Source organism: Homo sapiens, chromosome 1 (genome assembly GCF_000001405.40).
Source record: "Homo sapiens chromosome 1, GRCh38.p14 Primary Assembly".
NCBI classification, from domain to species: Eukaryota; Metazoa; Chordata; class Mammalia; order Primates; family Hominidae; genus Homo; species Homo sapiens.
The window spans coordinates 154,018,721-154,046,225 of NC_000001.11; the positions used below are offsets into that span (position 1 = coordinate 154,018,721).

Below are 27,505 nucleotides of genomic sequence, written 5' to 3' on the forward strand. Positions count from 1 at the left end.
ACCCACTGTGATCTCTTAAAACACAGGTAGTCATTCTGCTGGTTAAGAATCCTGAACACTGTTTAGCTTTGTGTTCCAGTAAAGTTTGCTGGCTGGCTTTATATCTGTTTTATGAGTGTATTTCCTTTCCTAAGATGTATTTTCTCTATGCATATCCTCATATGTGGCAATAGTCACCCTAGTCTCTTAAACTCTGATACAGTTATGTTTACCTCTCGATATGTTTTCACTACTCCTGGGATGTCATGAAAAATCATTGCAGTCCCCGGACTCCTGGCCACTCCTACTCCAGTGACAATGTCTGTCTGTAGAATATTGTTGGCAGAAATCATCCATATCCCAGGTTCACCTAGGAAAAGACAAGAGAAAACACTTGGCTGAAGCCTTTGATATAAATCACTCTGGACTTATTCATACTCCAAATCAGTAAATTTTTCAAGCATGCAGATATCTCTTCCCAGGAGAAACAGCCAGCTTTGAAGATAACTGTTTTCTCAGTGTCAGGTTCCTCTTCGTATATCATGCCAGCAAAATAAAGAATCATAAGAAGAGCTACGTAGTTGGAGAATGTAACTGTTCTCCTTGGGAAAAAGAGAAGCTCTTTTTACATACAGGGATAACTTTCTGAATAAATTTTGTTTAGAAGCTACTAAGGACAAATTTGCTTTGAGCTACTGATTGATGACAGCAAGAAGACTGCAAAAAAGTGACCATGGCAAGAGAAAGGATTTGTTTATTTTGGCTTAAGTCTAAAGATGGCCGAGGAATGCCAAATACTGGGTTAGAGTTTGTACTTAGCCTGCAGGATTACTGATCCTGGCATATGGCTCTTTCCTTCATCACATGATGAAGCCTCCCAAAATTCCAGATTGGAAGACTATGGGACAATCCTGTCAAAAATATAGCTAAAAAGAATAAAAAATAGGCCGGGCACGGTGGCTCATGTCTGTAATCCCAGCACTTTGAGAGGCCGAGGCTGGAGGATCACCTGAGGTCAGGAGTTCGAGACCAGCCTGACCAACATGGTGAAACCCCATCCTACTAAAAATACAAAAATTAGCCAGGCGTGGTGGCGCATGCCTCTAGTTCCAGCTACTTGAGAGGCTGAGGCAGTAGAACCACTTGAACCCAGAAGGTGGAGGTTGAAGTGAGCCGAGATCACACCATTGCACTCCAGCCTGGGTGATAAGAGTGAAACTCTGTCTCAAAAAAACAAACAAACAAACAAAAAAAGAGAGGGTAAAAAATACTCTGCTTCATTGACAAGGGATTTATAATCAGGGGATTGTAACTCTCATTGCCAACCTTAAAGTAGGTTTAGCTCATTGGTCCTGGATTGCATGTTGGTAGTGGTTGTTTGCAAATCAGCTGTTATAGCATTGGGGGATTCAGCTGTATAGAGCCCCTTTGTATCAAGGTCCAAAATACGTATTAATGTTAAAGTCAGGTCCAACATTTACATCACTTTACCTAAACATATGTATCCATAGTTACCAGAAGAGGCTGCAAAGCCAAAACCATACATTACTACAAGCAGTTCTTACTTGGATGTACACATCCAGGCAGTGTACACCACTTTGGGATATGATATTTGGAAACCCAAAGAATTCACACTCATTTCCTAACCAAAGAATGATTTCCTTTTCTTTTTTTTGAGACACAGCCTGTCATCCAGGCTGGAGTGCAGTAGTGCGATCATAGCTTACTGCAGCCTTGATCTCCTGGGCTCATGCAATCTTCCCACCTCAGCCTCCCAATAGTTGGGACCAGAGGCATATGCCACTACACCGGGATAATTTAATTATTACTATTATTATTATTTTTGAGACAGAGTCTCGCTCCATCACCCAGGCTGGAGTGCAGTGGTGTGATCTTGGCTCACTGCAACCTGTGCCTCCTGGGTTCAAGCAATTCTCCTGCCTTGGCCTCCCAAGTAGCTGGGACTACAGGCACATGCCACCATGCCCAGCTAATTTTTGTATTTTTAGTAGAGACGGGGTTTCACCATGCTGGCCAGGATGGTCTTGAACTCCTGACCTTGTGATCCGCCTGCTTCAGCCTCCCAAAGTGCTGGGGTTACAGGCGTGAGTCACTACACCCGGCCTTAATTTTTGTATTTTTAATAGAAACAGGATTTCACCATGTTGGCCAGGCTGGTCTTGAACTCCTGACTTCAGGTGGTCTGCCTGCCTCGGCCTCCCAAATGTTTTCTATGATTTTATTTTATTTATTTATTTTTTGAGATGGAGTCTCACTCTGTTGCCAGGCTGGAGTGCAGTGGCACGATCTCGGCTCACTGCAACCTCCAACTCCCAGGTTCAAGCGATTCTCCTGCCTCAGCCTCCCGAGTATCTGGGACTACAGGCGTGTGCCACCATGCACAGCTAATTTTTGTATTTTTAGTAGAGATGGGGTTTCACCATGTTGGCCAGGATGGTCTCGATCTCTTGACCTCGTGATCCCGCCACCTCAGCCTCCCAAAGTGCTGGGATTACAGGCATGGGCCACCGCACCTGGCTTATGATTTTATTTTTAACTCAGTACTTAGGACAGAAATGCTTTGTTTTCAAGAGTATAGTTGGCCAGGGGCCAACCCCTTGTATAAAAAATATAAAAATTAGCCAGGCGTGGTGTTGTGTGCCTGTAGTCCCAGCTACTTGGGAGGCTAAGGCAGGAGACTCGCTTGAACCCAGGAGTCAGAGGTTGCAGTGAGCAGAGATCATGTCACTGCCCACTGCCCTCCAGCCTGAATGACAGAGTGAGACTCTGTCTCTAAAAAAAAAAACAAAACAAAGTATAGTTTATCCGGGTAAAAGAAAAAACCTTATTACAATGATGATATGTTAGGACTTAGGCCTTCAAATGTGCCTCACAAAATAGCATACACATAACTAGTTCTTAGAACTAAAGCCTTATTGCCCTTTCCTTCCTGTTATCCTTTACTGTCCTTCAATATAGTAATTACCCTCCTTCAAAAGCTGGGAATGGAGGAGAAGACACAGTACCCTGCACTATCTACATAATATAAAATAGAGCTATGTATCCAATAGACTCTTGATCAATATTACTGGCTGGCTTCTAATTGGCTGGCTATTGAGTGAAACAGGCATTAAGCTAAAAATTATCAGTAACATTACAAATAATAAAATACTCAAAATTATTTTCTTTCTCAGAGAGTCCCTCAGATTTTAGATAATTTGGAAAAAAATATTCTAGGGGATTAATTGCTTTCTTGAACTTCTGGCCTTAAGTGACCTCTCCAGCTTGGCCTCCCAAAGGGCTGAGATTATGGGTATAAACCACTATACCAGTCCAAGGGATTAATAACTGCTTTTTTTTTTAATAACTGCTTTTTAATCCCCACAACTATCAATTGTAAGTTTGAGAAAGGGAATGTATACATACCATGCTGGCTGACAAGGTGAGTACTGAAGCAGATGATATCTCCAACAAAGGTAAGCTTGGTGTCTGGCTCAATGGCATGCTCTACAGCAACAGGAATATAATCTGCCATGCCTGGATGTCTCCGGTCCCAAAGCCCCACAAGTGTCAGCCCTCTGTTCACAGCCTGGGCCATGTAAGTATAGTTCTTATTCCCTGGTCCAATATGCAGCAAGTCATCTCTGCAAGTAGACATTAAAGGTAGAAATCTTTAAAAAGAGACAATAGTTAGAAAATAGTTCTGGAGAACACCCTACCACATTTTATATTCAACAGCTCAGAAGTTCAGAAGGAATTCCACAATAAAGAGTAAGTAAGTATGGGCCAAGGATCAGTCTATTACCTTCATACGTATAGTTCCCAGGAAGGCTTTTTTTTTTTTCCAGTAAAGCCTTTTGATAATAATACTCCAGTTAGCTCCCTATGGATCTTTTAGTGAATTAGAACTTGACAGATTTAAGATATCCTGCATTTTTTCTTAAGTGACAACTAATACCATTGCCTAAGTCTGGTCTTTTTTTTTTTTTTTTTTTTTTAAGACAGTCTTAATTGGTCACCCAGGCTGGGGTGCAGTGGCGCAATCTCTGCTCACTGCAACCTCTGCCTCCTGGGCTCAAGTGATCCTCCCACCTCAGCCTCCCTAGTAGCTGGGACTACAGGCACACGCTACCACACCCAGCTAATTTTTGTATTTTTGTAGAGATGGGGTTTCACCATGTTGTCCAGGCTGGTCTCGAACTCCTGGGCCCAAGTGATCCTCCCTCCTCAGCCTCCCAAAGTGCTGAGGTTACAGGTGTGAGCCACCCACCTGGCCTCACTTAAAAAAATTTTTTTTAACAAAAGAAAGATCAACTTCCAAATTCAGAATGTGAGAGGAATTTACTGGAGCTGCTATATAATACTAGCCTAATATGCAAGATTTCTACCATAGTGTCAATACCATTCCTTTGACTTCCATACCTGTTCAGAGCCAGATAAAGCTGGGTATTGTGTGTGTGGAATTTCTCTCCGATACTATTATAAAACTGAACAGTGAAGGTAAGAGACATGCCCAAGGGAAATGCTGACAGGGTCCTTCCTTGGGCTGTGTATAGCTTGGGTTGGCTGCTCACTCGCAGGTATGTCACCGGTGCTACCTGTGGGAGACAAAACCTACTGGTACAGAGAAAGATGCACTGGAGAAGTGCTGCAACCATATTCTGAGACTTATAATCAATGATAAAGAGTGATGTTTCTTTTCCATAGGAAATAGCTTTTGATGTGAGATGACTTAAGTCAGAGTGAAAAGAAATATGACAGCATAGCAGCATAGGAAATTCTTTTCTTTTTTTTTTGAGACAGAATCTCACTCTGTCACCCAGGCTGGAGTGCAGCGGCATGATTTTGACTCACTGCAACCTCTGCCTCCTGCATTCAAGCAATTCTCCTACCTCAGCCTCCCAGGTAGCTGTGATTACAGGCATCTGCCACCACGCCTGGTTAATTTTTCTATTCTTAGTAGAGATGGGGTTTCACCATGTTGGCCAGGCTGGTCTCAAACTCCTGACCTCAAGTGATCTGCCCGCCTTGGCCTCCCAAAGTGTTGGAATTATAGGCGTGAGCCACTGTGCCCGGCTTGAAATGGGTTTTTAATTTTTTTTTTTTTGAGACGGAATTTTGCTGTCTCGCCCAGGCTGGAGTGCAGTGGTGCAATCTCAACTTACTGCAACCTCCGCCTCCTGGGTTCAAGCAATTCTCTGCCTCAGCCTCCTGAGTAGCTGAGATTACAGGCGCCCGCCACAATGCCCGGCTAATTTTTTTGTATTTTTAGTAGAGATGGGGGTTTCACCATCTTGGCCAGGTTGGTCTTGAACTCCTGACCTCGTGATCCACCCGGCTCGGCCTCCCAAAGTGCTGGGATTGGCGTGAGCCACTGTGCCCAGCCAGGTTTTTAATTTTTAAAGCTGTGGGAATGTGAAGAGAAGCTGGAGCTTTATGAGGAAAGGACTATAATTCATCCATTTCATGCAGAGTGCTCAATATTTATGGTTAAATAATCAATTACTTATCAGGAACACAATCTATATTGTGTTTTCACACTGTAAGAGAGCTGTGATACAGTAAGTGAAGCCCGCGTTTGAATCATAGCTTTATCATTTCATAGCCTCATGTAACTTTTCTGGGTCTCAGGTTTCTTATCAGTTAACAGTTAGATGGGGATAATAATGCCTACCTCATAGGGCTTTTGTGGTAGTTAAAAGAGATAATATACATACAATGACGAACATAGTATATAGTAGATGTTTAATGTCTAAAATTTTTTTTCGTGTTAAGACTAACTTATCTCTGAGGTCTTTTCTCAATTTTTTAATTCTTGTAGCAAAGCTTAATTTTTTAAAAAGAAACAGATTGTTGCTTTGTTTTCCAGGCTGCAGTGCAGCAGTTCAATTGCAGCACAAAGCAGCCTCGAACTCCTAGGTTCGTGTGATCCTCCACCTCAGCCTCCCAAGCAGCTAGGACTGCAGACATGTGCCACCAAGCCCGGCTATTTTTTTTTTTTTTTCATTTTTTGTAGAGATAGGGGTCTCATTATGTTGCTCAGGCTGGTCTTAAACTCTTGGCCTCAAGTGATTCTCCTGCCTCAGCCTTCCAAAGTGCTGGGCTTACAGGCGTGAGTCACCCAGCCCAGCCAATTTTGATAGCAATCATTCTACACTCCTCCGATACCAGTCCTTTTGCCAAAGCTGCTAGGAAGACAATCATATAAATTTAGGCTGATCTGTTTTTTTTTTTTTTTTTTTTTTTTTGAGATGGAGTCTTGCTGTCGCCCAGGTTGGAGTGCAGTGGCGTGATCTTGGCTCACTGCAGGCTCCGCCCCCCGGGGTTCACGGCATTCTCCTGCCTCAGCCTCCTGAGTAGCTGGGACTACAGGCGCCCGCCACCTCGCCCAGCTAATTTTTTGTATTTTTAGTAGAGAAGGGGTTTCACCGTGTTAGCCAGGATGGTCTCGATCTCCTGACCTCGTGATCCGCCTGCCTCAGCCTCCCAAAGTGCTGGGATTACAGGCGTGAGCCACCGTGCCCGGCCAGGCTGATCTGTTTTATAACAAGGGCTCTAAAGTTCATTTTAATTTTATGGCTTATAACCATGTCAAGACTGGCCTCTTATAGGTTCATTTCTGACTCCCAGAGAGTTTCTTCTTCTTCTTCTTCTCCTTTTTTTTTTTTTTTTTCTGGTTCATGTTCTCTCATGATACAGAAGTTTCTAATTCTTTTCTTTTTCTTTTTTTCTTTAATGGCATGATAAGAAAATTTCTAGTTTTTTAAAAAAGAAACTCTGCTTTTTAAGGCCAGGGTATGACTTTTATTTATTTGTTTTTTTTAGTAAGTCCATGAACTCACCTGGACCCCAGTTATGGTTGTTTGGTTGACTCCAAAAGGTTCTATAGAAGTGACTTCCAATACAGCAGTACCTGCAATGGAACCAGCTTTCAGGAGCCCTTCACCATCCTCCTCAATGACGGATGAATTAGGGAAACACTTGAGAACACGAGAACTCACGAAGGCAGCTCCTTCCCTAGGGAACAAGGAAAGGAAGTGGCATCTTTTTGGGGTCCTGTCTGACCAGAGAGAAAAGAGTAAAAATTTCCAGGATTACTGTTAGGGGATGTACTCGAGAAAACTGCTTGCCATTCTCCACGTGTGTAATTATTTGTTCCTCAGGTAAAAGTCTGCCTTTGGATTATGCTTATTTCTTTAAAATCAAATCTTATTACATATTTATAATTAAAGAATTATTTAGGCCGGGTGTGGTGGCTCATGTCTGTAATCCCAGCACTGTGGGAGGCCAAGGCGGGAGGATCACCTGAGGTCAGGAGTTCAAGACCAGCTTGGCCAACATGGTGAAACCCCGTCTTTACTAAAAATACAAAAAAAAAAAAAATTTTTAGCTGGGCATGATGGCGGGTGCCTGTAATCCCAGCTTCTCGGGAGGCTGAGGCAGGAGAATGGCTTGAACCTGGGAGGCTGAGGTTGCAGTGAGCCGAGATGACACCATTTGCACTGCAGCCTGGGGGACAAGAGCAAAACTCCGTTTCAAAAAAATAATTATTCAGCCAAAACAATTGAAAGCAGGTATTCAGGTAAATACTTGCAAATGAATATTCATAGCAGCACTATTCACAATAGCCAAAAGGTGAAAACAACCCAAATTTCTTTTCTTTTTTGAGACGGAGTTTCGCTTTTGTTGCCCAGGCTGGAGTTCAATGGCGTGATCTTGGCTCACTGCAGCCTCCGCCTCCCGGGTTCAAGTGATTCCCCTGCCTCAGCCTCCTGAGTAGCTGGGATTACAGGCATGTGCAACCACCCCTGGCTAATTTAGTATTTTTAGTAGAGTTGGGGTTTCTCCATGTTGATCAGACTGGTCTCGAACTCCCAACCTCAGGTGATCCACCTGCATTGGCCTCCCAGAGGCCTGGGATTACAGGCATGAGCCACTGTGCCCAGCCCCAAATTTCTATTAGGAGATGAAATTATAAACTAAATGTGGTATTTCCATATAATGGAATACTATTCAGTCATAAAAAGGAAGAAGTACTGATACATGCTACAACATGGATGAACCTCAAAAACATTATGCTAACTTAAAGAAGCCAACACAAGGCTGGGCGTGGTGGCTCACACCTATAATCCCAGCACTTTGGGAGGCCGAGCCGGGAGGATCGCCTGAGGTCAGGAGTTCAAGACCAGCCTGGCCAACATGGTGAAACCCCATCTCTACTAAAAATACAAAAATTAGCCAGGTGTGGTGGCAGGCACCTGTAATCCCAGCTACTCAGGAGGCTGAGGCAGGAGAATTGCCTGAACCTGGGAGGTGGAGGTTGCAGTGAGCTGAGATTGTGCCACTGTGCGCTGGCCTGGGCAACAGAGCGAGACTGTCTCAAAAAAAAAAAAAAAACAAAAAAAAAAAAACAAAAAACACAAAACGTTGCATACTGTATGATTCCATTTATATGAAATACATTCAGGATAGCTAATACCGTACACAGAAAGCAGATTAGTGATTGCCAGGGGCTGCGAGGAGGAAAGAAAGAAGAGTGACTGCTTCACAGGTATGGGATCTCCTTTGGTGGTGATAAAAATATTTGGAACTAGATAGAGATGCTGAATACACAATATTGTGAATGTACTAAATGCCACTGAATTTTACACTTTACAATAGTTTTACATTATGGGAATTTCACCTCACACAAAAAATTATTTGGGAAAAATCTCCTAGAAGGCAAAAGTGTTCTTTCTATGTCAATGTTTTACTGAAAATACTTAAGCTTAGATCCTGGCACTTCCTTATTCTCCCTTTTCCTTACCTGTTGGTATGGAGTTTGAGCTGAGAATTTATAGGCATCAGAATCTGCTCTGGTTGGCACTCTGGATAGAAGAGTTGGAGTTTTTCAAACACCTATAATGAGAAAATGTTTTCCTCATTTTTGGCAAAGACAAATTATGACTTTTACTTACATATAGACTTCAGTATAATCCCGAAGAGATTACATGCAAATAAATGACAACTACGAATCAACAGTCTGCCTAACTTCTAATTAGTCTAAAATCGTCCACAATACTCCTCTCCAAAATGAACCAGGCACTCAAAACGTAACTAGATATTCTAGAAGATATAACCTAATGTTAGCCCTGTTTCTGACTCTGAGGGACTCAGCATGTAGCAAAGTTTACACTTACCACATCTTCCATATTGCTTAGATATTAGGTATAAAAATACTTTGAAATTTCTAATTTTGGCTCTGGTAAAATGACATGAAGTTTGGGGAAAAGAACTTATAATATTAAATTAGCATGAAATAACATCCAGGTCTTCCACCTTCTAGTAAAGTGCTCCTTCCTCTACTTCACATGGAATCAGAGAACCAAAGCCAAAATAAAGGAAAAAATAAAACAGGAAAAGAAAAAAAAAGTCTCAAAATCAGAGGCAGTGAAACTTACTCGACCCATATAAGTGATAATTTGTTTTTTGAATTCTAAAAACAACAGAGCCATTTAGCTTTTAGCCCAAGAATATCTGTAGAAACTATTCATACTCTTACACCTTATCAAAAGTTAGAATTATGTTTTATCCTAACTGTGAATATATTTAAATGGACTTATATCGGCTGGACGCGGTGGCTCATACCTGTAATCCCAGCACTTTGGGAGACCAAGACGGGCAGATTACCTGAGGTTAGGAGTTTGAGACCAGCCTGGTCAACATAACGAAACTCCATCTCTACTAAAAATACAAAAAGTAGCCAGGCATGGTGGCGCATGCCTGTAATCTCAGGTACTCAGGAGGCTGAGGCAGGAGAATCACTTGTACTTGGGAGGTGGAGGTTGCAGTGAGGCGAGATCATGCTACTGCACTCCAGCCTAAGCAACAGAGTGAAACTCTGTCTCAAAATAAATAAATAATTAAATAAAAATTGTTAATGGACTTATAATATCTATGTCAGGTGGAGTGGATCAGAAATGAATCCCTCTCTAGTTACTATGGTGTTCATATCCTGTGTTCCTGATATGGGGAGTTGAAGGGAGTGTGTGTGCTACAGTTTCTTTTCTTTTTTTTTCCAGACTACTCACCTGCAAGTACTAATAGTTTCTAATGTTAATAGTATATAAAAGCAGCCGGGCGTGGTAGCTCACGTCTGTAATCCTAGCACTTTGGGAGGCCAAGGCGGGTGGATCACTTGAGGTTAGGAGTTTGAGACCAGCCTGGACAACGTGGCGAAACCCCGTCTCTACTAAAAATACAAAAATTAGCCGGGCATGGTGGTGCACGCCTGTAATCCCAGCTACTCGGGAGGCTGAGGCAGGGAGAATTACCTGAACGCTGCAGTGAGTGGAGATTGTGCCACTGCACTCCAGCCTGGGTGACAGAGTGAGACTCTGTCTCAAAAACAAAAAACAAGCCAGGCATGGTGGCTCACACCTGTAATCCCAGCACTTTGGGAGGCTGAGGCGGGCAGATCACGAGGTCAGGAGATCGAGACCATCCTGGCTAACACAGTGAAACCCTGTCTCTACTAAAAATACAAAAAATTAGCCGGGCATGGTGGCAGGCACCTGTAGTCCCAGCTACTTGGGAGAATGAGGCAGGAGAATGGTGTGAACCTGGGAGGAGGAGCTTGCAGTGAGCCAAGATCACACCACTGCACTCCAGCCTGGGCAACAGAGCAAGACTGTCTCAAAAAAAAAAAAAAAAAAAAAAAAAACCACAAAAAAACAAAAAACAGGCCAGGCACAGTGGCTCACGCCTGTAATCCCAGCACTTTGGGAGGCCGAGGCAGGAGGATCACTTGAGGTCAGGAGTTTCAGACCAGCCTGACCAACATGGAGAAACCCCGTCTCTACTAAAATTACAAAATTAGCTGGGCTTGGTGGCACATGCTACTCGGGAGGCTGAGGCAGGAGAATTACTTGAACGCAGGAGATGGAGGTTGTGGTGAGCCGAGATTGTGCCATTGCACTCCAGCCTTGGCAACAAGAGCGAAACTCCGTCTCAAAACAAAACAAAACAAAAACAAAAAACAAAACTATATACAAGCAATTAGCAGGAATTATAAAGATCTAGGAAGTACAAACCTGTTCCAGGAATCGCTCTAACAATTATCTGTCTCTATCCAGACTAAGCTCTTTGTTGATGGTAAGAGAATATAACTTTCTTATCCTTAATATACGAAAATAAGATTTAGATTTGGAAGCTTACCAGGATCTGTACTTCATCAGAGAGTTCCAACAAATTCCCCTCAAACTGCCCAGAGGAACTGTTCATGCAGTGAACAGTGACCTTGATACTGGTCCTGCCTGCTGCTTTTGTATGGACAACCATGGCAAAGTTATGCTCTACTGGGAGCTGTAGAAAAACCTAGACAGTGAAGGGATAGATTAAGAAATATTCATCAATAAACATGGTGTCCTTCCTTTTTTTTTCACTTTTTTAATATTAAATTTTTTTTTAAATTAAAAATAAAAAGTCAGGAAAGGGTGGGAGGGGGCGAGGGATAGAAGACTACAAATAGGGAGCAGTGTATACTGCTTGGGTGATGGGTGCACCAAAATCTCACAAATCACCACTAAAGGGCTTACTCATGTAACCAAATACCACCTGTACCCCAATAACTTATGAAAAAATTAAAATTAAAAATTCACTCAGCCTGGAGTGCAGTGGAACAATCTCAGCTCACTGCAGCCTCGACCTCCCGGGCTCCAGTGATCCTCCCACCTCACTCTCCCTAGTAGCTGGGACTACAGGGGCACACCACCACACTCAGCTAATTTTTGTCTTTTTTGTAGACATGGGGTTTCGCCATGTTGCTCAGGCTGGTCTTGAACTCGTGGCCTCAAGCGATCTGCCCACCTCAGCCTCTCAAAGTGCTGGGATTACAGTTAATTTTTTGTTTTTATTTTTAATCTTTGTGGCTACGTTGTAGGTATACATATTTATGGGGTACATGAGATACTTTGATACAGGCATAGAACCTGTAATAATCACATCAGGGTAAGTGGGGTATGCATCACCTCAAGCACACTTTAAGTTGAAACCTTTTTTGGTTTTTTTTTGAGACAGGGTCTTGTCCTGTTGCCAAGGCTGGAGTGCAGTGGTGAAATCATGGCTTCCTGTGGCCTTGACCTCCTGAGCTCAAGCAATCCTCCCACCTCAGCCTCTCAAGTAGCCGGGACCACAAGCATGTGCCACCATGTGCCAATTAGTCCAGCTAATTTAAAAAAAATTCTTTTTTCTAAAAACAGGGTCTCCCTACGTTGCCCAGGCTGGTCTCAAACTCCTGGGCTCAAGTGATCCTCCTGCCTCAGTCTCCTAAAGTGTTGCAATTACAGGCGTGAGCCACTGTGCCCAGCTGCATTTATCCTTTCTGTTACAGACACAATTATACTCTCTTAGTTATTTTAGTTTATTTTGAGATGGAGTCTTGTTCTGTTGACCAGTTTGGAGTGCAATGGCATGATTTCAGCTCACTGCAACCTCCGCCTCCTGGGTTCAAGCAATTCTCCCTGTCTCAGTCCCCCAAATAGCTGGGATTACAGGCGCCTGCCACTATGCCCGACTAATTTTTGTATTTTTAGTAGAGACAGGGTTTCACCATGTTGGCTAGGCTGGTCTCGAACTCCTGACCTCAGATGATCCACCCACCTTGGCCTCCCAAAGTGCTGGAATTACAGGTGTGAGCCATTGCACCTGGCCTAGTTATTTTAAAATATACAATAAGTTATTGTTGACTGTATTCACCCTGTTGTGCTATCATATACTAGATCTTATTCATTTAATCATTTAATCTAACTATATTTTTGTACTAATTAAGCATCCCCACTTCCCTCCCACCCACCCACTACGCTTTCCAGCCTCCAGTAACCATCATTCTACTCTGTCTCCATGAGTTCAATTGTTTTCATTTTTAGCTCCCACAAATAAGTGAGAACATGCGAAGTTTGTCTATCTATACTTGGCTTATTTCACTTAACATAGTGTCTCCAATTCCATCATCCATGTTGTTGCACATGACAGGATCACATTCCTTTTTTTTTTTTTTTAAGACAGGGTTTCGTTCTGTTGCCCAGGTTGAGTGAGTATAGTGGCACAATCATGGCTCATTGCCACCTCAGTCACCAGGGCTCAAGTGTTTCTCCTGCCTCAGCCTCTCAAGTAGCAGGGACTACAGGCATGCACCACTGCGCCTGGCTAAATTAAAAAAAATTTTTTTTTTTGTAGAGACCGAGTCTCACTATGTTGCCTAGGTTGGCCACAAACTCCTGGGCTCAAGCCCTCCTCCCACCTTGGCCTTCCAAAGTGCTGGGATTACAGGTGTGAGTTACGGCGCCCAGCCATCTCATTCCTTTTTTATGGCTAAGTTGTACTCCATTGTGTATATACACCTCATTTTCTTTATCCATTCATCTGTTGATGGACACTTAAGTTGCTTCCAAATCTTGGCCATTGTGAATAGTGCTGCAATAAATATGAGAGAGCAGATACCTCCTTGATATAATGATTTCCTTTCTTTTGGGTATATGTCTAGCAGTGGGATTGTTGGGATCATATGGTAGTTTTATATTTAGTTTTTTGAAAACCTCCGAACTATGCTCCATAGTGATTGTACTAATTTACATTCCCATCAACAGTATATGAGGGTTCCCTTTTCTCTACATCCTTGCCAGGATTCATTGTTGCCTGTCTTTCAGATATAAGCCATTTTAACTGGGGTGAGATATCTCACTGTAGTTTTGATTTGCATTTCTCTGATGATCAATGATGTTGAGCACCTTTTCATATACCTGTTTGCCATTTGTATGACTTTTTTTTTTTTGGTAGGGGTGGAACACAGTCTCCCTCTGTCACCCAGGCTGGAGTGCAGTGGTGTGATCTTGGCTCACTGCAACCTCTGCCTCCCAGGTTCAAACGACTCTCCTGCCTCAGCCTCCTGAGACATACAGGCCAGGTGTGGTGGCTCATGCCTGTAATCCCAGCACTTTGGGAGGCCGAGGCAGGTGGATCACCTGAGGTTAGGAGTTCGAGACCAGCCTGGCCAACATGGCAAAATCCTGTCTCTACAAAAAATACAAAAATTAGCCAGGTGTGGTGGCATGTGCCTGTAGTCCCAGCTACTCCAGAGGCTGGGACAGGAGAATGGTGTGAACCTGGGAGGTGGAGCTTGCAGTGAGGCGAGATCACACCACTGCACTCCAGATTGCGCCACTGCACTCCAGCCTGGGCGACAGAGCAAGACTACATCTCAAAAGAAAGAAAGAAGAAAAGAAAAGAAAAGAAAAGAAAAGAAAAGAAAAGAAAAGAAAGAAAGAAAAAAAGAAAGAAAGAAAAAGAAGGAAGGAAGGAAGGGAAGGGAAGGAAGGAAATATCTATTCCAATCTTTTGCCCATTTTAAAATCTGATTGTTACATTTTTTTCCTGTTGAGTTGTTTGAGCTGCTTATATAATAGATGTTAATCCTTTGTTAGATGGATAGTTTGCAAGTATTTTCTCCCATTCTGTGGGTTGTCTCTTCACTTGGCTGATTGTTTCTTTTGCTGTGCAGAAGCTTTTTAATTTTATATGATCCCATTTGTCAATTTTTGTTTTGGTTGCCCATGTTTGTGGGGTATTACTCAAGAAATCTTTGCCCAGTCCAGTGTTCTGGAGAGTTTCCCCAATGTTTTCTTGTAATATTTTCATACTTTGAGGTCTCAGATTTAAGTCTTTAATACATTTTGATTTGATTTTTGCATATGGCGAGAGATGGGGTGTAGTTTCATTCTTCTGCATATGGATATCCAGTTTTCCCAGCACCACTGACTGAAGAGACTGTTTTTTCCGCAATGTGTATTCTTGGCACCTTTGTTAAAAGTGAGTTTCCTGCAGGTGTATGAATTTGTTTCTGGGTTCTCTATTCTGTTCCATTGGTCTATATGTTTGTTTTTATGCAAGTGTCATTGCTGTTTTGGTTACTATAGCTCTGTCATATAATTTGAAGTCAGGTAATATGAGTCTTCCAGTTTTATTCTTTTTGCTGAGGACGGCTTTGACTATTCTGTGTCTTTTGTGGTTCCATATAACTTTTACAATTATTTTTTCTATTTCTGTGAAGAATGTCACTGGTATTTTGATAGGGACTGCACTGAATCTGTAGATTACTCTGAGTAGTATGGGTATTTTAACAATATTGATTCTTCCAATCCATGAACATGGGATATCTTTCCATTTTTTGTGTGTCTTCTTCATTTATTTTATTTATTTATTTTTTTGAGATGGTGTCTAGCTCTGTCCCCCATGCTGGAGTTCAATGGCATGATCTCAGCTCACTGCAACCTCTGCCTCCTGGGTTCAAGCAATTTTCATGCCTGGCCATGAATAATCTTTTTAATGTGTTGTTAAATTCAGTTTGCTAGTATTTTCATGAGGGTTTTTGCATCAATGTTCATCAGAGATCTTAGCCTTTAGTTTTCTTTTTTTGATAGGTCTTTGCCTGTTTTTGTTATCAGGGTAATACTGGCCTCATAGAATGAGTTTAGTTGTACTCTCTCCTCCTCTATTTTTCAGAATAGTTTGAGTAGGATTGGTATTAGTTCTCCTTTAAATGTTTGGTAAAATACAGCAATGAGACCATTAGGTCCTGGGCTTTGCCTTGGTAGGAGACTTTTTTCTTTTTTTGAGATGGAGTCTCACTCTGTCACCCAGGCTGGAGTGCAGTGGCATGATCTTGGCTCACTGCAACCTCTGCCTCCTGGTTCAAGTGATTCTCCTGCTTCAGCCTCCCGAGTAGCTGGAATTAGAGGTGCCCACCACCATGCCCAGCTAATTTTTGTATTTTTCGTAGAGATGGGGTTTCTTCATGTTGGCCAGGCTGGTCTGGAACTCCTGACCTCAAGTGATCCACCTGCCTTGGCCTCCCAAAGTGCTGGGATTACAGGAGTGAGCCACTGTGCCCAGACTGCTTTGCTGGGAGACTTTTCATCATGGTGTTGATCTCATTACTTGTTATTGGTCTGTTCAGGTTTTGGATTTCTTCATGGTTAAATCTTGGTAGATTGTATGTATCTAGGAATTTATCTATTTCTTCTAGGTTTTCCAATTTATTGGCTCATAGCAGCCTTAATGATCCTTTGAATTTCTGTGGTATTGGTTGTAATGTCTCTCTCTCTCTCTCTTTTTTTTTTTTTTTTGAGATGGAATCTTGCTCTGTTGCCCAGGCTGGAGTGCAGTGGCACAATCTTGACTCATTGCAACCTCTGCCTCCCAGGTTCAAGTGATTCTCCTGCCTCAGCCTCCTGAGTAGCTAGGATTACAGGTGTGTACCACCATGCCTGGCTAATTTTTGTATTTTTAGTAGAGACGGGGTTTCACCATGTTGGTCAGGCTGGTCTCAAACTCCTGACCTTGTGATCTACCTGCCTCGGCCTCCCAAAGTGCTGGGATTACAGGCGTGAGCCACCACGCCCAGCCAATGTCTCTTTTTCCACCGCTGATTTTATTTATTTTGGTCTTCTCTTTTTCTTAGTCTGTCTAAAGGTTTGTCAATTTTGTTTATCTTTTTAAAAAATGACTTTTTGTTTTGTTGATCTTTTGTATTCTTTTTCATTTCAATTTCATTTATTTGTTCTGATATTTATTATTTCTTTTCCTCTACTAATTCTGGGTATGGTTTGCTCTTGCTTTTCTCGTTCTTTAAGATGCTTCATTAGGCTTTTTATTTTAATTTTTTCTACTTTTTTTTTTTTGAGATGGAGTTTCACTCTTGCTGCCCAGGCTGGAGTGCAATGGCGCGATCTTGGATCACTGCAACCTCCACCTCCCGGGTTCAAGCGATTCTCCTGCCTCAGCCTGCCGAGTGTCTGGGATTACGGGCACTTGCCACCACGCCCAGCTAATTTTTTGTATTTTTAGTGGAGACGGGGTTTCACCATGTTGGCCACACTGGTCTCGAACTCCTGACTTCAAGTGATCTGCCCACCTGGGCCTCCTAAAGTGCTGGGATTACAGGTGACCGGCCTCTACTTTTTTTTGATGTAGGCACTCTTTGGTATCAACTTTTTTCTTTCTTTTTTCTTTTTTGGGGGGATGGAGTCTTACTTTGTCACCCAGGCTGGAGTGCAGTGGCATGATCTCGGCTCATTGCAACCTCCGCCTTTCAAGTTCAAGCAATTCTCCTGCCTCAGCCTTCCAAGTAGCTGAGATTACAGGTACCTGCCACCGCGCCTGGCTAATTTTTTGTATTTTTAGTAGAGACAGGGTTTCACCATCTTGGCCAGGCTGGTCTTGAACTCCTGACCTCGTGATCCACCGGCCTCGGCCTCCCAAAGTGCTGGGATTACAGGCGTGAGCCACCGCGCCTGGCCTATGAACTTTTTTCTTAGTACTGCTTTCACTGTATCTCATAGGTTTTGTTGTGTTTCCATTTTCATTTGTTTCAAGAAATTTAAATTCTTAATTTATTCATTGACCCACTGGTCATTCAGGAGCATATTGTTTAATTACCCTGTGTTTGTATAGTTTCCAAAATTCCTCGTTACTAATTTCTAGTTTTATTCCATTGTGGTCAGAAAAAACACTTGATATAATTTCAGTGTTTTTAATTAATTAAAAAATTTATTTATTTAATGTATAGGACAGTTGGAACATGTGTGTGTGTGTGTGTGTGTGTGTGTGTGTGTGTGTGTGTGTGTGTATAACTTTTTTTTTTTTTTTTTTTTGGAGTTTCACTCTTGTTGCCCAGGCTGGAGTGCAATGGTGTGATCTTGGCTCACTGCAACCTCTGCTTCCTGGATTCAAGCAAGTCTCCTACCTCAGCCTCCTGAGTAGCTGGGATTACAGGTGCCCACCACCGTGCCCAGCTAATTTTTGTATTTTTAGTAGAGATGGGGTTTCACCATGTTGGCCAAGCTGGTCTCAAACTCCTGACCTCAAGTGATCCACCCACCTTGGCCTCCCAAAGTGCTGGGATTACAGGCATGAGCTACCGTGCCCAGCCAGAACATACATATTTTTAAGAGACAGGGTCTCGCTTTGTTGCTCAGGCTGGAGTGCAGGGGCACCATTATAGCTCACTGCTGGCTTGAATTTTTTGGACTTTTTTTTTCTTTTGAGACAGGGTCTCACTCTGTCACCTACGCTAGAGTGCAGTGGTGCAATCTTGGCTCACTGCAACAACCTCTGCCTCTTGGGGTCAAGCCATCCTCCCACCTCAGCCTCCTGAGTAGCTTGGACTACAGGTGCATGCCACCACACCCAGCTAATTTTTGTACTTTTTGAAGAAATGCGGTTTTGACATGTTGCCCAGGCTGGTCTCAAACTACTGAGCTCAAACAATCTGCCCACCCTGGCCTCCCAAAGTGCTGGGAATTACAAGCAAGAGCCACAATGACTGGCCAAAATTTTTTTAATTTTTAAAAACTTGTTTTGTGGCCTGTCATATTGTCTATTCTTGAGAATGAGCCACGTGCTGAGTAGATGAATGTGTATTCTGCAGCTGTTGAATAGAAGTTCTGTAAATATCTATTAGATCCATTTGGTCTATAGTGCAGAGTAAGTCCGAAGTTTCTTTGTTGATTTTCTGTCTGGATGACCTGTCCAATGCTGAAAGTGGGTTATTGAAGTCTCCAGTTAATGTTGTGGGGTCTGCCTCTCTCTTAAACTCTAATATTATTTGCTTTATATATCTGGGTACTCCAGTATTGGGTGCATATATATTTATAATTGTTATGTCCTCTTGCTGAATTGACCCCTTTATCATTATATAATGACCTTCATCTCTTTCTATAGTTTTTGTCTTGAAATCTATTTTGTCTAATGTAAATATAACCATTCCTGCTCTTTTTTGGTGCCCATTAACATGAAATATCTTTTTCCATCTCTTTATTTTCAGTCTATGTGTGTCTTTATAGGTGAAGTGTGTTTATTGTAGGCAACAGATTGTTGGATCTTATTTATTTATTTTTTAAATCCTTTCAGCCACTCTATGTCTTTTATTTTATTTTATTTTATTTTATTTTTTGAGATGGAGACTTGCTCCTCGCCCAGGCTGGAGTGCAGTGGCGTGATCTCAGCTCACTGCAGCCTCCACCTCCTGGGTTCAAGCGATTTCCAGCTAATTGTTGTATTTTTAGTGAAGACAGGGTTTCACCATGTTGGCAAGGCTTGTCTCGAACTCCTGGCCTCAAGTGATCCACCCAACTCGGCCTTCCCAAAGTGCTGGGATTACAGGCATGAGCCACCATGCCCAGCCACTCTATGTCTTTTAAATTGGAGCATTTAGTCCATTTACATGCAATGTTATTATTGATAAATAAGAACTTTTCCTGCCATTTTGTTATTCGTTTTCTGGTTGTTTTGTGGTCTTCTCTTCCTTCTTTCCTTCCTTCCTGTTTTCCTTTTTGTGAAGGTGATTTTCTCCAGTGGTATGTTTTAATTTCTTGCATTTTATTTTTGTTTATCTGTTTTGGTTTATTTTATCTTTTGAGACAGGGTCTTGCTATGTTGCCCAGGTTGGATTACAGTGGTGCAATCTGGGCTCACTGTGACTTCTGCCTCCCAGGCTCAAGAGATCCTCCCACCTCAGCCTCCTGAGTAGCTGGGACTAGAAGTGCACACCACCATGCCCAGTCAATTTTTGTATTTTTGTAGAGACAGGGTTTTTTCTTTTTCTTTTTTTTTTTTTTTTATTTTTGAGATGGAGTTTCGCTTTTGTTGCCCAGGCCAGAATGCAATGGCACAATTTCAGCTCACTGCAACCTCTGCCTCCCAGGTTCAAGCGATTCTCCTGCCTCAGCCTCCTAAGTAGCTGGGATTACAGGAATGCACCACCATGCCTGGCTAATTTTTGTATTTTTTTAGTAGAGACGGGGTTTCACCATGTTGGTCAGGCTGGTCTCAAACTCCTGACCTCAGGTGACCTGCCTGCCTTGGCCTCCCAAAGTACTAGGGTTACAGGCGTAAGCCACCATGCCCAGCAGACACAGGGTTTTTTCATGTTGCCTAGCCTGGACTTGAACTCCTGAGCTCAAGCAATCCACCTGCCTCAACCTCCCAAAGTGCTGGGATTATAGGTGTGAGCCAACGTGCCTGGCTTGTTGTAGGTTTTTTTGATTTGAGGTTACAATAATGCTTGCAAATAACATCTTATAACCTGTTACTTTAAACTGATGACACTTAACACTGGTTGCGTAAACACACAAACTAACAAACAGGAAAGGGAAAACTAATAAAAACTCTGCACTTTATCTCTCCTGTTTTTTAACTTTTTGTCATTTCTATTATATCTTATTATATTGTCTTTGTCTTGAAAATTTGTAGTTATTTTTAGTAGGTTCATCTTTTAGTCTTTCTACTCAAGATACGAGTAGTTTATACACCACAATTACAGCGTTATAATATTCTGTGGTTTTCTGTGTACTTACTATTACCAGTGAGTTTTGTATCTTCAGATGATTTCTTACTGCCCATTAATGTCCTTTTCTTTCAGATTGTAGTATTCCCACTAGCATTTCTTGTAGGACAGGTCTGGTATTGATGAAATCCCTCAGCTTTTGTTTTTCTGGGAAACTTTTTTTTTTTTTTTTTAGATGGAGTCTTGCCCTGTTGCCCAGGCTGGAGTGCAATAGTGTGATCTCAGCTCACTACAACCTCCGCCTCCCGAGTTCAAGCGATTCTCCTGCCTCAGCCTCCTGACTAGCTGGGATTACAGGTGCCTGCCACCACACCCAGCTAATTTTTGTAGTTTTAGTAGAGACGGGGGGTTTCACCATGTTGGCTAGGCTGGTCTCGAACTCCTGACCTCAGACAATCCACCTGCCTCGGCCTCCCAAAGTGCTGGGATTACAGGCGTGAGCCACCGCACCTGGCCTGGAAACTCTTTATTTCTCCTTTGAAGGATAACTTCACTGGATATACTATTCTAGAATAAAAGTTTTTTCCTTCAGCACTTTAAATATGTCATGCCACTCTCTCTTGGCCTATCAGATTCCCACTGAGAAGTCATCTGCCAGACATATTTGAGCTCCTTTGTATATTGTTTCTTTTCTTCTGCTTTAGGATCCTTTCTTTATACTTGACCTTTGGGAGTTTGATTATTGAATGTCTTGAGGTAGCCTTACTTGGGTTAAATCTGCTTGGTGTTCTATAACCTTCTTACATTGGAATATTGATATCTTTCTCTAGGTTTGGGAAGTTCTCTGTTATTATCCCTTTGAATAAACTTTCTACCCTGATTTCTCTATCTCTACCTCTTAAATAGAACACTTAACGAATTTGCAGGTCATCCTTGCGCAAGGGACATGCTAATCTTCTCTGTATCATTCCAATTTTAGTAGGTATGTTGCCAAAGTGAGCACTACTATTTTTTTTAGAAACGGGATCTCGCTCTATCTATCACTCAGGCTGAAGTGCAGTGGTACAGTCATAGGTCACTGCAGCCTGGAACTCCTAGTCTCAAATGATCCTCCTGCCTTAGCTTCCCAAGTAGCTGGAACAACAGGCATGTGCCATGATGCCTGGCTAATCTTTCCTTGTTTGTTGTAACAATAAGGAAAATGTATGTTGGAAATAGCTTTCTAAAAGAACTAGAGGAGCTGGGTGTAGTGGTACACCCTGTAATCCCAGCTGCTTGTGATGCTGAGGCAGGAGGATCGCTTGAGCCTAGAAGTTTGAGATCATCCTGGGCAATATAATAAGACCTTGTATCAAAAAAAAAAGAAGAAAAGAAGAAAAAAGAAAGAATAAAGGAGAAAGAAGGAAGAAGAAGGAGGAGGAGCAGAAGAGAAGGAGGAGGAGAAATAGTGTACAAGAGATTGTTTTCGTAGTGATTTCTTTTCATAGTCCCAGCAGCATAATTACCCCTAAAGTAACCTCTGTTTGTAGTGTTCAATTAATTCTGGCAAGCCTCCCTAAGATTCTTTCTTTCTTTTTTTTTTTTTGAGATGGAGTCTCACTCTGTCGCCCAGGCTGGAGTGCAGTGGCGTGATCTTGGCTCACTGCAAGCTCTGCCTCCCAGGTTCACGCCATTCTCCCGCCTCAGCCTCCCAAGTAGCTGGGACTACAGGCGCCCGCCACCATTCCCGGCTAAATTTTTTTTTATTGTTTTTACTAGAGGTGGGGTTTCACCATGTTAGCCAAGATGGTCTTGATCTCCTGACCTCGTGATCCGCCCGCCTCGGCCTCCCAAAGTGCTGGGATTACAGGCGTGAGCCACCGCGCCCAGCCAGATTCTTTCTTATGTTACCTCAAAGTCAAATTTTTTTATGAAAGAAGAATGGAAATGGTGGAAGCAGTTTCCTTTTTGTGCCTTTTTTTGAGAGACAGGGTCTCACTTTGTCTTCCAGGCTGGAGTGCCGTGGTGCAAACGCAGCTTACTGCAAACTCAACCTCCTGGGCTCAAGTGATCCTCCTGCCTCAGTGTCCCAAGTAGCTGAGACTACAGGTGTGTGCCACCACACCTACCTAATTTTAAAACTTTTTTAACAGATGGGGTCTCATTATGTTATCCAGGCTGGTCTCAAACTCGTGGGCTCAAGTGATCCTCTCACCTCAGCCTCCCAAAATGCTGGGGTAACAGGCGTGAGCCACCGAGCCTGGCCTTTGCCCTACTTCTCTCCTATCCCAGTTTCTACTGTCTGAACCAATTTTGTTTGTTTATGTATTTATGTATTTATTTATTTATTTTGTGTGACAGAGTCTCTGTCACTCAGGCTGGAGTACAGTGGTGCAATCTCAGCCCACTACAACCTCTGTCTACCAAGTTCAAGTGATTCTCATGCCTCAGCCACCTGAGTAGCTGGAATTACAAGCATGTGCCACCGCACCTGGTTAATTTTTTTATTTGTAGTAGAGACGGCGTTTCACCATGTTGGCCAGGCTGGTCTAGAATTCCTGACCTCAAGTGATCCACCTGCCTCGGCCTCCAGGTGTGAACCACTGCGCCCAGCCCACACAGAAATACATTAAATGAAAACTAGAGAAAAAAAAAAAGAAAAGAAAAGAAAAAAAAACTGGCTGACCATCTTCCCACTTGCCTCTCTTATCATTACAGGCTAGACTGGATAGCGAGGATTAGAACTTGATAGACTTCTGATAATAGGGAAGGCAGGACCACCACTAAGGCAAATATTGAAGTAGGCATTTCAGGTCCTGTGTTCCCTGCCTTCTTGCTGTTCACAACCCTCAAAACTTTCCTTCTAGTGCTCTAGAATTACGACAAAGTCCCATGTTCCAAAATCACCTTTCCCCAGTCCCCTACACACACAAAAAAATCCCATTTCCTTTGTGCAGATTTCAATCAGTTATCTGGAAGAGTCTCATGCTAAAAAATGAGTGGTTTATAATTGTTTAATCCAAATGAACCTCTCAATGTTGGCATTTCCACAGTGTAGGAAATCTACCCATTGGAGCAAGAAGGCCTTTCCCTCTCTCTCTCTCTCTTTTTTTTTTTCTGAGACAGGGTCTCACTCTGTTACCCAGGCTGGAGTGGAGTGGTGCGATCACAGCTCACTGCAGCCTTCACCTCCCGGGCTCAGGTGATTCTCCCACCTCAACCTCCCTAGAAGCTGGGACTACAGGTGCATGCCACTATGCCTGGCTAATCTCATGTGTGTTTTTTGTAGAGACAGGGTTTCACTCTGTTGCCCAGGCTGGTCTTGAACTCCTGAGCTCATGCGATCCACTCACCTTGGCCTCCCAAAGTGCTGGGATTATAGCTGTGAGCCGCCGCACCCAGCCCATGAAGGCCTTTTTGTTGTTGTTGTTGTTGTTGTTGTTGTTGAGACGGAGTCTTGCTCTGTCGCCCAGGCTGGAGTGCAGTGGCGCAATCTCGCCTCCCTGCAAGCTCCGCCTCCTGGGTTCATGCCATTATCCTGCCTCAGCCTCCTCAGTAGCTGGGATTACAGGTGCCCGCCACCATGCCCGGCCAATGTTTTTGTATTTTTTAGTAGAGACGGGGTTTCACCATGTTAGCCAGGATGGTCTTGATCTCCTGACCTCCTGATCCACCTGCCTCGGCCTCCCAAAGTGCTGGGATTACAGGCGTGAGCCACCGCGCCTGGCCTTTTTTTTCTTGAGACAAGGTCTCACTCTGTTGCCCAGGCTGGAGTCCAGTGGTGCAATCTCGGCTCACTGCCTCTTGGGTTCAAGGAATCCTCTTGCCTCAGCCTCCTGAGTAGCTGGGATTACAGGTGCATGCCACTATGCCCAGCTAATTTTTGTATTTTTGGTAGAGACGGGGTTTCGCCATGTTGCTCAGGCTGGTCTTGAACTCCTGGGCTCAAGTGACGCACCCACCTTGGCCTCCCAAATTGCTGGAATTACAGCTGTGAGCCACCACACCCAGCCCATTAAGACCTTTTTTTTTTTTTTTTGAGACAGGGTCTTGCTCTGTTCCCCAGGCAGGAGTCAAGTGGTGCAATCTCAGTTCACTGCAACTTCTGCCTCCCGGGTTCAAGGAATCCTCCTGCCTCAGCCTCCTGAGTAGCTGGGATTACAGGTGTGCGCCACTATGCCCAGCTAATTTTTGTATTTTTGGTAGAGACGGGGTTTTGCCATGTTGCTCAGGCTGGTCTTGAACTCCTGGGCTCAAGTGATCCACGCGCCTCGGCCTCCCAAAGTGCTGGGATTACAGGCGTGAGCCACTGCACTCCGCCTTTTTTTTTTTTGAGATGGAGTTTCACTCTTGTTGCCCAGGCTGGAGTGCAATGGCGTAATCTCAGTTCACCACAACCTCCACCTCCCGGGTTCAAGCGATTCTCCTGCCTCAGCCACCCGCGTAGCTGGGATTACAGGCATGCGCCACCACACCCGGCTAATTTTGTATTTTTAGTAGAGATGGGGTTTCTTCATGTTGGTCAGGCTGGTCTCGAACTCCCAAACTCCCGACCTCAGGTGATCCACCTGCCTTGGCCTCCCAAAGTGAGCCACTGTGTAATTACAGGCGTGAACCACTGCACCCGGCCTTTTTTTTTTTTTTTTGAGATAGAATCTCACTTTGTCGCCCAGGCTGGAGTGCAGTGGCGTGATCTCTGCTCACTGCAACCTGCACCTCCTGAGTTCAAGCCATTCTTCTGCTTCCGCCTCTCAAGTAGCTGGGATTACAGGTTTGTGCCACCACACCCAGCTAAATTTTGTATTTTTAGTAGAGACGGGGTTACACCATGTTGGCCAGGCTGGTCTCAAACTCCTGATCCCAAGTCTGCCTCGGCCTCCCAAAGTGCTGGGATTACAGGCCTTATGAAGGCCTTTCTATTGCCCATTTCATTACCCAATTTGCCTATGCTAGATCTGAGGCAGGAAAAGAAAAAATCTGTGTGGCTCTCAATTATTTCTTCTGCTAGAGAAAAGAGTGATGCTTTACATAAAAAAAATTAAAGAAAGGGAGAAGTAGAATAGAGGCCAAGGCCTAGCCATTCCCTCCTTTCACACACTCCTGTCTGTTATTCAAGAAAAAAGCCCGCTGGGCATGGTGGCTCATGCCTGTAATCTCAGCACTTTGGGAGGCCGAGGTGGGTGGATCACTTGAGGTCAGGAGTTTGAGACCAGCCTTGCCAACATGGTGAAACCCCGTCTCTACTAAAAATACAAAAAATTAGCCGGGCCTGGTGGCAGGCACCTGTAATCCCAGCTACTCAGTAGGCTGAGGCACAAGAATCGCTTGAACCCAGGAGGCGGAGGTTGCAGTGAGCCGAGATCGTACCATTGCACTCCAGCCTGGGCAAAAAGAGGGAAACTCTGTCTCAAAAAAAAAAAAAGAAAAAGAAAAAGAAAAAAGCCAAATCCTTACATTAAATTGCATCAAACTAAGTACAGTTCCATTCTTCCACAATTCCAGTATAACTAGACTCTAGGAAGTCACAGACAGAAGATCTAACCACTAGAGTTTCCTTAAATTATAGGTTAAGGATATTTTTAGAAAGATTACAAATTTTTTTTTACTTTTTCCAAAGTTCTCTTTTCTTTTTAGCTGGCTGCCGAAATATCCTCGTAATTCTAGCTCCTGTAACCCCTCTATTATCTCCCAAGATATAACTCTAATTCTTTGTTCTCGTGAGCACTGAATTGTGACCTACTGGGTATCATGGCCCCATGTCCTTTTTCCTAAGGTAAAACCCAGATGTAGCTGGTTGCCACTGTACTCAGACCACCTTGGGTGAGTTTCATTTAGGTAAAATTTGTCGGCAGCAAACTTTACATAGTTTCTGCCAAACTTGCTTTTTTTTTGTCTTTTTCAGGTTTCAGTGTGAGGTTTAATACTATATGCATCAAAACATCAAAGCTTTTTTTCAGAGAAATATACTCTCAAGTTGAACTGTGGATATCCTAGATGTCTATCCTGAGGTCTTCTATGGTTCCAGATACAGCAGGTAGTGAATTGGGAGGAGCCAATACCACCAGATACCAAAGGGAACCATGGAGGGGCAGTTTAATTAATCACTGTTCTTAAACTTGTCGTTGATATAAGACACCCAGTCCAGAATCAGCTGCCCAGTTGATAGGCGACTACAGCTCCGTGGTACCCATGGTGCCTGACATGGGAATCCAGTTCTTCCCCAATTCCAAGTAGGGTGGGCTGGGAGCATGCTAAACAAAGCAATGCCACCTACAGCCCTCTATATTTGCTTTTCTTACTATTAATGTAATCACCCAGCATGTAGCACAACCATGATTATGAATATAATCAAATGTGTGTCTGAACATGATAAAAAATAAAAATTGTATATTTATTTTTTATACTTTATGCATATACTTTATATTCATAGTGTTACTCATCTAACATAGTCATCTGCTCACAAATACAACATTACAACAACATTAATAAATACAATATTAAAAGAAAGATCACTTTTGAGAGCTCTTTCCAGCAAAAAATAAAAATAAATAATCATACAGTATTATCTGCATACTCAAATTTGGATTCTTTATTGCTTTGCAGGTTTCCAGAGTTCAGAGTTCAGAGAACAGTAGGAAAAGTAAATAAGTAATAATATTGTGTAGTTTAGGGAGTGAGTAATCAGTCTAAAACTTATGATAGGATGAGCATGGTGGCTCACGCCTGTAATCCCAGCACTTCGGGAGGTCACAGTGGGTGGATCACCTAAGCTCAGGAGCTCAAGAACAGCCTGGGCAACAAGGCAAAAACCCCATCTCAACAAAAAAGTACAAAAAATTAGCCAGGCATGATGGCATGTGCCTGTGGTCCCAGCTACTCGGGAGGCTGAGGTGGGAGGATCACTTTAGCCTAGGAGGTGGAGGTTGCAGTGAGCTGAGATTGCACCACTGCACTCCAGCCTGGGGGACAGAGTGAGACCTCATCTCAAAACAAAAAGAAACTTATGATAAATTAAAATAAATTTAATATCAAGATCCCTAAGATAACACAATAAACAGGCAAATTCTTACCTCTGAATGCCTGGGCACTAGATCCAATACATCCCTTTTGCTCATAGACCAGTGGAATGTGAGCCCAGGATTAGCATTGCTGAAGGAGAAAGGGGTCTGGGTACTGGTTACTCCCATGACATAAACTGGCATCTGAAAATAAATAGCAGCATTGTGC

General features: G+C 43.1%; 1 protein-coding gene and 1 pseudogene across 8 annotated transcripts in view, besides 1 other annotated feature; both read right to left on the reverse strand.

Annotated features, from left to right (window-relative positions):
- NUP210L (nucleoporin 210 like) overlaps window positions 1-27,505 on the reverse strand; it is a 162,427-nt gene that overhangs the window by 26,031 nt on the left and 108,891 nt on the right. For 7 of the 8 annotated variants that reach the window (XM_011510122.2, NM_001159484.1, XM_017002788.3 and 4 more), the window contains 7 exons: window positions 27,349-27,480; window positions 11,176-11,334; window positions 8,786-8,877; window positions 6,822-6,996; window positions 4,402-4,577; window positions 3,406-3,623; window positions 213-349 (listed from right to left, as the gene is read on the reverse strand). In XM_011510122.2, coding sequence (XP_011508424.1) covers window positions 213-349; window positions 3,406-3,623; window positions 4,402-4,577; window positions 6,822-6,996; window positions 8,786-8,877; window positions 11,176-11,334; window positions 27,349-27,480 — 1,089 coding nt within the window. The remainder of the gene's footprint in view (window positions 1-212; window positions 350-3,405; window positions 3,624-4,401; window positions 4,578-6,821; window positions 6,997-8,785; window positions 8,878-11,175; window positions 11,335-27,348; window positions 27,481-27,505) is intronic. The other variant, XM_011510123.2, reaches the window with a different exon arrangement.
- Window positions 19,471-19,692: a silencer, noted in NCBI's record as "fragment chr1:154010667-154010888 (GRCh37/hg19 assembly coordinates)". NCBI's record gives its function as "represses an EF-1alpha promoter that drives an FKBP-Casp9 reporter gene in an ReSE screen in K562 erythroleukemia cells {active_cell/tissue: K562}" and the evidence as "EXISTENCE:reporter gene assay evidence [ECO:0000049][PMID:32094911]".
- Window positions 21,196-21,302, reverse strand: RNU6-179P (RNA, U6 small nuclear 179, pseudogene; annotated as a pseudogene).